A 15,619-nucleotide genomic window follows, 5' to 3' on the forward strand; every position below is an offset into this window, starting at 1 on the left:
GCCAGCTGTAAAGGGTCATGAAAATAAGAAATTCCCATAATGTGAATTTTGCCAACATTTGTGTTTGTATAGCTCTGACATAAGGATGCTATGATTTATTCTAAGTAAAATAACTGAAAATTTCATATCTATAGTTTCCAAAAAGAAATAAAACATCTACCTATAAACAAGATGGGAATGATAAGACTGCAAATGACAGATTTCAGAAATGATAAAATTTGTATTTATGATTTCAGAATTCTGAGTTTCATATTTAGTTTCACATATTAAGTAGGAAAAATAATCAGTATAAGAAGACACATATATATATATATATATATATATATAAAATATGTATGTATATAAGCCATTTCTAACCGGTCCTTAATAATTATATCTGATATCCCTTTGAAAACCATATAGTGAAAATGGAACATATTAAAATATAAAAACAAAAATTTTTAGTCAAAAAACTTGGATTTTAGCTTTTGATTTTTTCTCACATCAGTGTTCTACTCTAATCCTTCTCAGATTTTAGCTTATATTTCTAATTTAATCTTCAGAGTATAGCATCATTTTCTCACTTCCAATTTGGTAATGATTTGGATATTTCATACCTTGAAATATCAGTCTTTTACTTCCTGTGTTTTACTTTTTTCTTCAGGGTGTTATTCCTAATTACCCAATATTTTGCAGTTCATATTTCATGTTTTTATTAGAGTATGATTGAGTAACCATTTGGTTAAATTGATCAATTTGGCCAAACCCAATAATATAAAGTATCCAGATCATCTATGTACATAGATCAAGCTAGTCTTGTTTTCTTTTCTTTGAAACCACTCAACACATTCCTCTCAAGTATTGTCAAGTTCCCAGCCCCTTCTGAGCCACTTTTGCCTCTGCTATTGAATTTTAATTTTTCACCTTTATTGAGTTCACTTTCACTCAACTTACAAATCTAATTACTCACCACATAAAAATTTTCAAATATTCTTCCTCTAATGTCTAGTGGACTTAATGATTTTCAGATTTACAGAGTGAATATTACATTTCATTTTCCAAATATGAATGGGTGGATGACTACATAAAAAAATTATAATAAGGTGGAATTTAGGGAGCACTGTTTGTTTCAGAGATTACTTTTCCTGGTAAAAAAATAAAAATAAAAAAATAAAAGATTGTACAACTGTATGAATAAAAGATTGAGGCCAGACCTGCCAGTAATGCTTAACTGGGTTGGAAGATAGTGGAGAGTACCAGTTTATCATAACATTTTTCTGTATTTGGTATGAGACTTACAAAATACAGAAGAATGCAAAGAAGTAAATGAAAGTAACTTGTAATCCAACCTAAGAGATTAGATCAGTGGTTTTCATCATTATATCCTTTAGTGTCATGTGGTACATCTACAGGGAAAAAAATCATGTATTTTTCTTCTGTTAATTTTAAAATAAATTAATGTATAAATGCACATTACAAAGTTCTTAGTAATATGTAAATTAAAGTTGCAATTAAACTCATTTCAATTCAATTCAATAATAGCCATTGTCTTCTCTCTGAGGGAGAAAAATAGAGACCCTCAATCACTATCGCTCTCCCTGAAAGTGAAGGCTCGTCTCAAGTTAAACCTTATATCTTTCATTGTTGAAATTTTAAATCATTTGAATATATCTATAAGAATGATTCAACCTCTCCCCCTCCATTATATTTACATAACTGAAATATTTGATGGATTTTTTCCGCTTACAATGGCCTTCCTTGATACACATTAATACTGCATTCAATCATTACTTATTAATTCATCATAAAGTAGGTAGTGAGCATCCACTGCGTATTGTTGGGTTGTATATTTGAAAATCAAAGCTATAAGAAACAGCAATTATGCCCACTAGAAGCTTACATATTATTTTAATTAATTGCAATGTTTATTTGAAATGTAAATTATTTTATTATTTTATTTTATTTATTTTTATTTATTTATTTATTTATTTTGAGACAGAGTCTCGCTCTGTTGCCCAGGCTGGAGTGCAGTGGCGTGATCTCGGCTCACTGCAACCTCTGCCTCCCATGCTCAAGCGATTCTCCTGCCTCAGCCTCCCTAGTAGCTGGAATTACAGGCACATGCCACCACGCCCGCCTAATTTTTTGTATTTTTGGTAGAGACGGGGTTTCACCGTGTTAGCCAGGATGATCTCCATCTCCTGACCTCCTGATCTGCCCACCTTGGCCTTCCAAAGTGCTGGGATTATAGGCGTGACCCACTGCGCCCAGCCAAAAATCTGTTTATTTAAAGTTATATAAGTAAAATTTAAACAAGAAAATGAAAAACTTTTTACAACTTCGTATTACATACTCAAAATAAAATGCCAAGACTTGGTATTATTTAATATTTTAGAAAATCTTGTCCATACTTTTCTGTGAAAACTAAATTAGCTGTAACAGCTTCAAACTGCATTGTATGCTATTATTTCTATACATAATTGCTACTGTCTACTACATTCAAGTTATCCTTTTTGTGTAAAGTAATAGAATAAAATTATTTTATAAATTTGTAAACATGTCAAATAAAAGCCAAAAGTATGAATCATGAAAAGTATCACAGTATCTCAAATTTGCATATAATTATGGGATCTGGGGGAGGTTTTCATACAAGTTTATGGATTTCTGTCTGTAGACATAACTTTGGCCAACACTGCCCATTTATAACTTTAAAATCCTATTTTGAAGGTTCAGACACCCTCTCCAGGAGCAGAAGTAATTCCATTTCTATATTCCATGTGCCTCTTGAGGCCAGACCTGCCAGTAATGCTTAATTGGGTTGGAAGATAGTGGAGAGTACCAGTTTATCATAGAGGCAACTGACACAAAACTTTTTCATTTATCTGAGGTTGGACTGTGTCTGGGTTCAGAGATGAAAGGTCAGTTTTTTATCCACTAAGTCCCCTAGACATTCCAAAATCCTTAGTATGTTACAAATTTGAACAGTTTAAGCTCTCTTAAATAAAGAATCTCTTCTCTGGGTAAAGTATCCAGTGTATATAGATATAGTGGAGAAGAAACATGTGAAAGGTCATAGCCATGACCTTTTAACATCAATAGTTTTATTTATAGCCAGACGCTTAGTCTGTAGAGCTTAATATGAAAGCAAGACGAAAGACAAAGGTATCTCGTTAGCTTTATAATAGCTATCCAGTTATATAAAAGTTGTCTTTTTATCTTGAGTAGAGAATAAAAGTTATAAATAATTAAATCGACAGCTATTTTAAAGTAAAGAACAACATTTCTCAATCATTTTTAATTGAACACATTCTATTTCTCTCTGGATATGGCCTAAAATAATTTACCAGATTTTATAGGAATACTTTTATTTCTTCATATGTGATTTATTTGCAAAAGACAAAATAATAGTATGTTATTTTTATTACTACTTGCCTCTTTGTCACCTATTTGGTGTCTTGCTGTGTTTCAAATGACATGTGAGAGAGTTGTATCTTACAGCATTCAAATTCTGTTGCATGGATTTTTAGTAGTTTAGGAAATTTAGCAAATACACATGCATATGCATTTGTTTACTATTCTCAGAATACTTCTCAAGCAGTTTAAAGACAATGCCCAAGGTATATTGAGAAAAGCTCAAGTAGGTTAGAAAGACCACGTGTGTTAGCAAAATGTGAAACAAGGCTGGAGAAGAGGCCATGAAGAGTTTCTAGTGGAAAATGCAAGATGATGACTCAACCTAAAAACAAAGGGAGACTGGGAAGGCTTTTATGAAGAAGAGCAACCAAATCTTAGTTCCTGACTCTAGTCTGAGGGTATAACTGGACGTTACTTAGAACCACCTCCTCTTTGCAACTCCCCAGGTTGGAAGAGCCTAACAAACTGCCTTCTCTCAAGAGGCTGACTTGTCTCTCTGAGGCCCCCTAGCCGAGAGGTGGCCTTTCACTAAGACATTTCACTGATATGATACCGTTTGTCCGTTTCTTATAACCCCTTAGTTTAATTGATGCTAATGTCATAATGGAAACTAACAGGTATCATTTGCTTTTTAATGGGAACTCTTAGAGACAATGTCTTCACCTAGAAAAAAAAATGACTAAATTGGTCAGAATTTTAGCTACTGTATCTATGCATATAATGGTCAAGGATGCCTTTCCACACTTCATTTTAAGCTGTATATAATAATTGGGATTTTTTTCTTGTAATTCTGTATTCACAACCAACCTTCCTGGTGTGATACAGAAACCTCTCTGTGAATCATGGTCAAAACTTTAGAGATAAAAACTCTTGGGCTGTTTTTATCACTATTGGGCTGTATTTTGTCTCTTTGAGCTTTTATTTTCCAGTTGAAAGCTTATCTGCTTAATCACATTAAGGTAAAAAAAAAAAAAACTTCAGTAAACAGTGTTGAGTATCTATTAAAAGTAATGGCAAAAACCACAATTATTTTTGCACCAACCTAATAATAGTAGGTAAAAACCCAAATTATTAAAATTTATAAGATTTTAATACATAGGTAGAAGTCCAGGTTCAGGAGCTAGGAAGACCTAGTTTGAATGCATGTTCAAAAACCTACTTGATTTGACCAGTAGCTGAACATCCCTAAGCCTCATTCTCTTAAAATGAGGATGCAATGTGATGGGAGGTGTAATAATTGTGAGGCTCTAATGGGTTCATTTATGTAAATTATAAGGCTGGTTTAGAGCAAGCATTCACTTAACCTGCATTATTGTTAGTATCATTGAATTTAATGTCATTTGTACAACAAAAAAAAATTAAAAATCAAGGTTATTGACACTTTTAGGTAATTAAATGCTGCAAAATATATAGCCAACTATTCTCCTTTTTGTATTCATTTTATTTCTAATAATTATCAGTAAATTATCAGATTGAGAGGAAACTCTAAAATATATATAGAACAAATAGCAATGATAAAATATTAGCAATGTAAGTCATTTCTTTCAACTGCAACCTCGTTGGGTTCTCTAGAAAGTAAGTATTTTAATCTCCCTTAGGAATGAAAGGAAAAAAAAAAACGTGCTAACATTCTCAACTATATAAGATTTGTGCCAAATTATTTAGAGAATCACTCTGGGTGTCCTGACACCTTTACATGTGATGCAGTAATAAAGCCTCCTCTTTCTACCCCATCAAAGGAGACCAGAAAATCAGCTCTAGAGAATTACTCTTTTCTCTTGCCCTGCTCTGAGTCATGTTCAGGGTGAGAACTGGTCCAGGCATACATTGTACTTCAGTGTCACCAAGACCAAAACATCTCTATCACAAGAATTCTGGGCTCCAATTTTTCTCAGGTTTTTTTTTTTTTTTTTGTCTCCATTGCTTTCCAATTTTGTTAGTCAATGTGATTATTGAATACCTAGTATGTTCCAAAGTCTGCACTAGGCCCTCAGGCAAACATGAAAGCATAAGCCATAATTCCTGGTGTGGACAAGCTTAGAGCCTAAATAAAGGAGAAAAATGAGATAAATGACTGAATGCACTGTCTTCAATGAACTATTATCCCTTTGCATGGTAGAGAATCAGAAAAAAATATAGTGTTTAAAAATTTAGATTTTATGCTGTAGAAGGCAGATGGTGTTTTCTTTTAGTAATTCAAAACAAACTCAGAGAAAATATCTTGGGTGCTCCTAGTGTTCTGTTTCTTAGCCTGGGTATAGGTTTCCCAATTGTGTTCAGTTTGTGAAGAAATCATTGAGTTACACATTTATGTGTACTTTTCTCATAGTTATTATACTTTGATTAAAATTTTTAAAGGTATAGATTTGTTTATCCTTTACAAAGAATAGGCACACGTTTTCCTTAGTCTCAACAAATACTTTAAAAATTGAATTATAATTTAAGTTTCTAAAAAGCAAAAAACTAAAAAGTCTTAACACTTTTTAAAAACATGAGAAGCATCATTATTTTTATAAATGAATTACCGTGCTGAATTTTCCATTATGCTTCTATTTGTAATATTTTAGTCTATTGAGATAGTATATTCTCATGGTCATCCTAGAGAGCCTTTACCACCAGAAAAGTCAGCACACAAATTGCTCAGAAATTTCCATTTGGTCCTATTATTTTTTGCACTGACCACCAACTTAATGATGTCTTAAGCAAGCAAGCAATTACATTCACTGTATCCTCCTGGTATTATACTGTGTTAACATTCTTCTTTTTTTCATGAAAAAAGAACTGCTATTTGTAGGTGTGATTTACTTTTCTTAAATCCTCAGTTTCAGATGCTGAATATAAAATGTACTCAACTCATGGAAAAAAATATAGCACCAGGCAAAGCAGACACTTGAAATTGTTTTAAAATTAATTCCATAGATATTATATAATTTCCCCAATAAATATTCTACCAAACAATATAAAGGAAATAGTTCTAAATTTACTCCTTTCTGCAGCATTTACCTGTTGGATGCATACCTCCTTGAGTTTTCCTTAGACTTCATGACACAAGGTTCATATCATCTCATACTCCTCCTAAACCCACGTTCTTGGCTCCTCTTTCTCTACCATTGACAGCAAATAAGATTCAATAACATGTACCAAATTCTTGAAAGTGCTTGTTTTTTTTTTTCTAGGATTTGACCCTAGAACTCTCTGCAGTCTGCCTCTACACATTCTCTCTCACAATAAATAGGCATGGCCTTAGTTTTAATACAATGACCCTTTGCCCTACTTTCTATGTCTAAGTGACAACCAGGAACCTCCATCTGCAGGTTCCAACCACTTCAAACTCAATACGTCCAAAACTCAACTGTATTCTCCCCAAATCTGTTTCTCCCCATCTTTACCTCACCTCACTCTGCCCCCAGCCAATACTCTGGATTATCTTGTATTGGTTAATAATTGTCACTCTCCTGAATAACTTTCCAATACCCTCCTCACTATGCCTTTGTTGCATAATTCCCTCTCTCCTATCTCTTGTCTCATTTTTTTTTTTTTTTTTGACAGGGTCTCACTCTGTCACCCAGGCTTGATTGCAGTGGCACAATCAAGGCTCACTGCAGCCCAAAACTCCCAGGGTCAGGTGATCTTCCCACTTCAGCCTCCCGAGTAGCTGGAACCGTAGGCACGTGCCACCATACCTGGCTAAGTTTCTGTATTTTTGTTGTAGATAGGGGATCTCCCTGTATTGTCCAGGCTGGTCTGAAACTCCTGGGCTGAAACAATCCACCCACCTTATTCTCCCAAAGTGCTGGGATTACAGGCATGAGCCACTGCACTCAGCCCTTACCTCATTTTTGACATCCTTGAACCTTGTTCCCCTGCAGTTAGAGTGATCAAAAAGTATACATTATGATGGGCTTAATACCATTCACTTATTCATTCACTCATTCCTTCATTCATTCATTCAACAAATATTCATTGAGTGACTACCTCATGTTAGGCCTTAGATATTCAGAGATGAACAGGACAGACTCTTCTCTGAAGAAACACTATCTTGAAGGGGAAGGCATACAAGAGTGGCTTGCTTGCTTTTATTTTATTTTATTTTATTTTATTTTATTTTATTATTTTATTTTTTTGAGACAGGGTCTCGCTCTGTCACCCAGGCTGGAGTGCAATGGCGTGATCTCAGCTCACTTCAACCTCCACTTCCTGGGTTCAAGCAATTCTCATGCCTCAGCCTCCCAAGTAGCTGGGATTAGAGGCGCACGCTACCACGCTGGGCTAATTTTTGTATTTTTGGTAAAGACAAGGTTTCGCCATGTTGGCCAGGCTGGTCTCGAACTGCTGACTTCAGGTGATCCACCTGTCTCGGCCTCCCAAAGTGCTGGGATTACGGGCATGAGCCATGGTGCCCAGCCCAAGAATGGCTTTCTAACACATATATTGCATAGAAGAGAATTCAAATACCTTTCTATGTCATATAAATGTTCTTTGTAATCTGGCCTCTACAAACCTCTCCTGCCTCATTTACTCCATTTCCCGACTGTAGGTCCTTCACTCCAGGCACCCAGAACTACATGTGGATGTCCAATGAGCCTTGCCCTTATGCCTCTGTGTTTTAATTCCCTCTGCATGATATGTCCTTCTCAACCTTGTCAACTCAGCAGACTGATTCTGGCTACTTCAGACAGTTGGTATTTGTCCTCTGTACTCAACAACAGCCTGTGCAAATTTAACATTTATCACTCTATTTATTAATTACCAATCTTATTTTCATCTTTCCTACTAGAGAGTGAGGTGCATGAGAGCAGTGATTGAATCTCCTGTGCCCTTAGGGTTGAATGACCAACAATCGCATACTTGGGAATAAGAAAATGAATAAGAACTCAGCCCAGGTGGTCAGACAGACAGATAGGAATCCAGGCTCCACCAAATAATAACTATGTAACTTTGAGAAGTTACTTGCCTTTTGTGTGTCTTGGTTTCCTCAGTTTTAATTCTCTGTTAAAAGGAATCACAATATTTACTTTAAAGTGTTCTGTGAGGACTCAAGATAAAGCAAATAAAGTGTTTAGTAGAGTGTCTGGCCCATAGTAAGTACTCAATAATTTTTAGCCATTATTATTATTTCATTGTTTGAAAAGTGATGGTGGCATTATTGTTCCCTTTACCTTTTACAGTTGTGATCAGGTGGTAGGGAACACAGGATGGGAGAAAAAAGGAAGCATCATTTTTTAAGAAATGCACTCGGTATCTGTTGCACTCCTTGATATGTTATCTCATTTATCTCCCCAACAACTTGGGTGGAGTAAGAATTATTATCGCCAATTTATAAATTAGGAAACTGAAACTTAAAGAGCATAAACGACTCATTCAGGGGTACAAAGCTGCAGTTTGCCAGCGTAAGCATAACAAAATACCATCAACTAGGTGGCTTAAACAACAGAAATTTATTTCTCACAGTTCTGGAGGATGGGAAGTTCAAGATAAAAGTGCAAATTGATTTTCTTCCTGGTGAGGGCTCTTTTCTTCCTGGCTTGCAGATGGCCACCTTCTCACTGTGACCTCACATGGCGGAGAGCGACAAAAAGAGCTCTCTCTTCCTCTTCTCGTAAAGCCACTGGTGCTATAGAAGTAGAGCCCCACTCTTATAACCTCATCTAAACTTAATTACCTCCTAAAATCATGTCTCCAAATACAGTCATATTGGGGGAGAGGGTCTCAACATATGAATTTGAGGAGCCCCAATCCAGTCCATAAGATGCCTGTTCTTTGCCCTGAATCTCACTGCTATAGCCAAGGGATGAACCAATATGAAGACTTCACTGCTGTAATCCATGAAATCAGTAACTTTGGATTCAATTTACTCAAAAGCTTGAGGCTTTTTAGCCATTCTCCCTTTATTCCATACCCTATTATTAGAGTTTCTTGGTCATTCAAAACATAAAATAACTATTGGTAAAACAAAGATGGTGATATGGTTTGGCTGTGTCGCTACCCAAATATCAACCTGAATTGTATCTCCCAGAATTCCCATATGTTGTGGGAGGGACCCGGGGGAGGTAAATGAATCATGGGGGCCGGTCTTTCCCATGCTCTTCTCATAATAGTGAGTAAGTCTCACTAGATCTGATGGATTTATCAGGGGTTTCCGCTTTTGCTTCCTCCTCATTTTTTCTCTTCCCCCTGCCATTTAAGAAGTGCCTTTTGCCTCCCACCATGATTCTGAGGCCTCCCCAGCCATGTGGAACTGTAAATCCAATTAAACCTCTTTTTGTTCTCAGTTTCGGGTATGTCATTATACACAAAAGAATGAAAACAAAGTAATACAGATAGCTAAGCCATCTACTAGCCATTCAAAAGGAACATTCCTAAGGGACATGTAATTTAAAGTAGAAGAACTTCTGGGTCATGAGTTTGAAAGTACCCAGCTCCTTGAGATGGGAGGTAAGAGTGGGACCTGTGGAGAAAGGCTCCAGGAACTAGAGTAATGGGCTCCAATATCGCCCAGAGTGATTATGTAGGAAAAAGTGATGAATCATCCTGGTGAGATGGTGCTGGTAGAAAGAAAGATTTGAAGGGATGGTTAAGTCAAAGAGAACCCACCGAATGTACCAGTAGGTATAAATCCCGTGGCTATGACAGAAAAAGCAAGAGCTTATTCCTCACGCTAGATACTTGCTCTTCCTCCCCAACACCCACTGCCACCTAAGTTCCCTTGAATCCAACTCTGGCAACCTCAGCAGGGAGACCTCTAAACTGCACTCACATTAAAATACACAATTTATAAAATTAGATGATCACCCTTTGATATTGAAGAGGAAAAAAAAATGTCAAATTGCCTAAGTACTTCTGAGGGAAGTGTAAAAGAAAAGAAGAGAATTTATCTGGTTGTCAGGAAGCCATAGCTGAATGGAGGTACTGGCAGATCAGGATAAGTCCAAAATATAGGTTGAAAGTAAAATGGTAAATGCTTTTTTTAAGACAAGGTTTGTAGTTACTTCATTTGTTTCTTTTCTTACAATGCAAGAAGGAAAAGTCCAACACCCTGAATCTCTCTACAAGGACTCTCAACCACCCAAGATTTTTGTAAGGATAAAAGAGTAAAGAAAAGAGGCACAATTCCCATCAATCATGGAATCAGCATATAAATTACATAATATTTATATGATGGAATATTATATATCAATGAGAATGGACACATTAAAACTATAAGTGGCAATATGGGTTTTTAAAGATCTCAGAAATGTTAGAAGGTTAGGTAATGTTAATAACCTCAGAAACAGAATTTTTATAGTCTCACAAACATAATGTTGAGTGAAAAAAATGAGTATGTATTGTATGATTCCATTTATATAAGTTCAAAAACCAGACATGACTGATCTAGGTTGAAAGTCAAGAAAGTGGACACCCATGCAGCGGCCTGAGGTCTGGATGGGGGTGGGGCTTGAAGTGCTGGTCAATGTTTTGCCTTTTGATCTGCCTTCTGCTTAGGTGGGTGTGTTATCTGAAAGACAATTCATTAAGCTGTACCCTTATGATCTGTGTACCATTCTGTATATTTCCACAAAAAGTTTTAAAAATTTAAAAAACATCACTTCTGGGTTTATACCTAAAGAGGTTTCAAGGAGAGATTCCAGCAGATATTTGTATACTCATGTTATTGCGGCATTACTTACAAGAGCCAAAAAATGGAAACAACTAAAAGGTCTATGGACCACTGAATGGATATTTAAAATGTAGTATACACATACACTAGAATATTACTGAGCCGTACTAAGGAACCAAATTCTGATACATGCTACGTTATGGATGAACTTTGAAGATATCATGCTAAGTGAAATAAGCCAGACACAAAAAGACAAATATTGTGTGATTCCACTTATATGAGGTACCTAGAGTAGTCAAATTCATAGAGACGGAAAGTAAAGGAGCAGTTACCAGGGGCTGGGGGAAGAGGAAAATAAGGAGTTATGACTTAGTAATTATGGAGTTTCAGTTTGGGAAAACGAAAAAGTTCTGAAGATGGATAATAGTGATGTTTGCACAACAATGTGAATATGCCTAATACCACTGAATTGTACACCTAAAAATTGTTAAAATGGCAAATTTTATATTGTACATTCTACCATAATAAAAAAAATTTAAAAAACAAAATAAGAATAGAAGCACATGTATTTTTCTTCTCTCTCATTGGGGGAATCCTGCACATCTGACCCCAGGATCTTCCAGACAAACTTCCACATACTTCTCCCATCTTCTATTCAAGACCACTGTAGCACCCATTGCTAGGATTTTCTTCTGCTTTTGGTTATCTTTTTTACCTCCACGTTACATGTCAAAATTTTTCTGGCTGGCTTTATTTCACATTTAGGAGTAGAAGAGTATCTTTAAAAGAATCTATGTGCTTAATTTGATCAGGAGATTTGAGTTATTGACCATCGTACATGAACATCTTAAAAACATTACATCATTCCCAGACCAATATTCTAAAATATACTTCTAGGAATGTAAACCTTGGTAATATGCAGCTAATTTATTGCTCCTCTGAGTAGAATACAATCCATTGAGTGAAAATGTCTACATTTATTTATACCTCATCTAACTGTAAACAGACCTGTGACTAAAATCAAATGGCCAGTTCACAAAAGAATAATTTAGAAAAAATTAGACCATTTTAAGTCATTTTATTTTCAAGCAATACCAAAATATCAAATTGACTCAGTTAACCATTTATTCTGGCTACATGATATTAAAAAGTTTGACTAAATTTTTCAGAGTTTATTAATATTTTCACTGAATTTCCAGATGTTCTGCTTTCCCATATTGGTGTCACTATATATCTTTATTTTCTCCTTACACTCTGATTTCTATGTATAGTTTATTGTTGGGAGATAGCTGCAGGGCAGGACAGATATTAAAACTATATAGCATCTCATAAGATGTGAAGCTGAATATCTTTTTTTAGATTAGGTAACCTTTTCATAGCTTTGGGGGAAAACATGGATAGTACTCATGTGTGTGTGTGTGTGTGTGTGTGCGCGCGTGCGTGTGCGTGCACATGTGTGAGCTTGTGTGCATTGACAGATAATTATTTTATATTGAGAATAAGCAAAACTTTGTGTTGATCATTCCAAGAAAATCCTAGAAGATCTTGTTTTGTTTTCTTTTAAATCTATAGCTCTGCACTCTGTGTGTGTGTGTGTGTGTGTGTGTGTGTGTGTGTGTGTATCAACTCAACTCACATATAACTCAGAGGAATTAGTATAGAATACTGATTAAGAAGGCTGAAATTTTTACTCTGCTCTGACATTTTCTTAGTTTGCCTCAATTTTCTCATCTGTATTACAGAAATGAAAATCGCACCTTCTTCATGAAATATTTAACAAGAAAAGACGTATCAAAGTGACATACTCAATTAATGTTAGAACTCATACTAAGAACCAGAAATTTTTTCTGTAATTGTGAAATGACTCTCTACATCACTGACTTTGGGTCATTGGTCCTAATCAAAATATCATGCAACTCACATCTGAACTTAGTTGTTGTTTTAAAGGAGTGACATTTTTAGGCATATTATAGCTTGTTCAGTGCAGAGCAAGGAGCATAGAATATTTGGAACAGTTCAAGGAGGGACATACAGTTAGGGTGCAAGATGTGGTGAGAGGGGGAGGCAAAGACCAGAGCCAAAAATTTTGTTTTGTTCTCAACCTAGGCAGCAAAACTAGGTCTTTAGAAAAACATGACTCTTACAGTATTTGGCTAATACCACTACACTATCCTATTATTCAGTCAATTTTGAAATGATAGAACTTAAAATTTCTGATTAACTTGTAATGATGCAATAATTTACCATTCGCATTAACACGTGGTGAATCATACATACCTTTTTGTCCTTTGTTGTTGCTGGTGGCTCATTGACTCAACTACCATCACCAGGAGCTTTAGAGAAAAGTTTTTAGTTTTATCTTCGTATGGTCCGAATGAATGGCAGGAATGTGCTTCAGTTTAAGAGACAAAACGTCTTTTTCCAAACTGAATTTTTATACTCCAGGTTTCTTCCTCAAGTCGACCTCCATATCCTTAGTTTATAACCCATAAAATTCCTACTCCGGCCGGGCGCCTTGGTTCACGCCTGTAATCCCAGCACTTTGGGAGGCCGAGGCAGGGGATCATGAGGTAAGGAAATCGAGACCATCCTGGCTAACATGGTGAAATCTCCGTCTATACTAAAAATACAAACAATTAGCTGGGCGTGGTGGCGGAGGGCTGAGGCGGGAAAATGGAGTGAACCCGGGAGGCGGAGCTTGCAGTGAGCCGAGATGGCGCCACTGCCCTCCAGCCTGGGCGACAGTGCGAGACTCCGTCAAAAAAAAAAAAAATTCCTATTCCTCAGCTAAAACACTTTTCTAAATGTCTCTGGCTACTTGGCTCTTTGCTCCTCCTATTTCCTAGATTAAAGAACTCTGGGATTCATAGGCAAATGTTGTCAGGTAAATGTATCTAACCTAGCTTGTCAGAATTCTGCTTGTTTTTCTAATGGTCTCCAGACAAGTAAGCAATATGTAGATGGCTTGACCCATTTCTCAGTGTCCTCAACCGTATTAAATTGTATTATTTTCATGGAATAAATAGATTTATGTCCGACCTTTATGAATTGTACTCGTGTGTGTGTGTGTGTGTGTGTGTACATGTGTGAACTTGTGTTCGTTGACAGATAATTCTTTTATATTGAGAATAAGCAAAACTTTGTGTCAATCATTGCAAGAAAATCCGACGAGATCTTGTTTTGCCCAAAAGTCCTTAAAAATTCCAGAAAAGGTATCTTGTCCTTTATACTTTGCTTTAGAAACGTGTGTTATAGTCACAATTTTTCCATAATGGAATTTTATTTTTCAAATAGTTCAGATAATAATAAAGAACTTGTTTTAAAGAAATATCCAAGTTTTCACCTCTGTATCTCTATCATCTGAGTGGGCACACTATTTTAGTGAGTCTACTTAGTTTTCTTGACTAACTACTTTTTGATGTTCAGGAAGAGTTTAAAGTACATAGGAATTATAAGCCCTTTATAGATTTGATCAAATGCACATATAAGACCATCTGAGCCTGTGTATATGTGAGTGTGTCCATTTTGTGGAAAGGGACTGCTAGTAAGGTATATAAGTCTTTGACTGTTTTAGTCACTTTTTCAACATTTTTTCACAGTCATTTTTTACTTTTCAATAAAGCTTTATTTCTAATATTGAGTCAATTCTGGTAATTTATGCTTTTCAAGAAACAGATCATTTGCCTTTTTCTAGGAATCTATTTTATTAAAAAATAAAAAATTATAAGAGATTATACAAATTTATAGTCGTTATTATAAAATATGAAACAATTCAAAAAGATAGAAATTATAGACAATAATTTAAATTCATTCTGATTCCAGAGCCCATGCCTTTAACTACTGTCCTTCAATAAAAATCAAGGGAGTGGTATTCATAACATTAGCAGGAATACATAGATATTTGGGAAAGCTAGCTGCTAACACAAGTTGGGGAGCCATTTTGAAAATAAAAATGTCTAAATTAAAAATCCGTAATTCTTTTCAAACCTAAGCTTTATTTCTCCATGGAAAATCCACTTCTGGAGCCAGGTAAAGAAAGGTATTATGCAATGTTAAAATGGGATCAGTTTGTTCCAAATGCAGCTGAGAGATCAGAAAAACAAGGACTGAAATATACCATTGAACCTGGCAAGGTGGGAGTCTGCGGTGATCTTGTCAAGAGTAGCATCCAAAGTAGAGGAAATGCAAGCCTGACCAGACAGTTTTGTGGGGAGAAGAGAAGGTAAGTGAAGACAAGTCCTGATAGATTTTGTTTTAAGACAAACAGAGAAGTGAAACTAGATGATAAGAGGAGATTTGGAGCAGGTTTCTTTTTCTTAGCTGAGTGCTGTTAGAACATGCTGCATTGTTGCAATTTTATAAAATCGGTGAGAAACTGATGAGACAGGGGAGAGAGGAGAGTCAGGCATGAGTACCAGAAACAGGGAGGAGCCGGTGCACAATTAAATTTTTAAAAAAACCATTAGCCTTTGAAGAAGGAGTATTTCACCCATGTAATCAGAAAACAGGATAAAAAAGGTCAAGTGGATAAATTTGGATAAAGTGGTATTTTTAATGGCTTATATTTTATCTAATTGTTTTACTGTTAATTTTTCACATCGAGGGTTTTAATTCATCTGGAGTTGTATT

General features: G+C 35.7%; 1 long non-coding RNA gene across 1 annotated transcript in view; it reads right to left on the reverse strand.

Annotated features, from left to right (window-relative positions):
* LOC107986952 (uncharacterized) overlaps nucleotides 1–13,612 on the reverse strand; it is a 113,744-nt gene extending 100,132 nt beyond the window's left edge. Inside the window, exon 1 of the long non-coding RNA XR_001745962.2 lies at nucleotides 13,268–13,612. This is a non-coding gene — a long non-coding RNA (uncharacterized LOC107986952). The remainder of the gene's footprint in view (nucleotides 1–13,267) is intronic.
* Nucleotides 13,613–15,619: the final 2,007 nt, after the last annotated feature.

Source organism: Homo sapiens, chromosome 8 (assembly GCF_000001405.40).
Source record: "Homo sapiens chromosome 8, GRCh38.p14 Primary Assembly".
Lineage (NCBI taxonomy): Eukaryota > Metazoa > Chordata > Mammalia > Primates > Hominidae > Homo > Homo sapiens.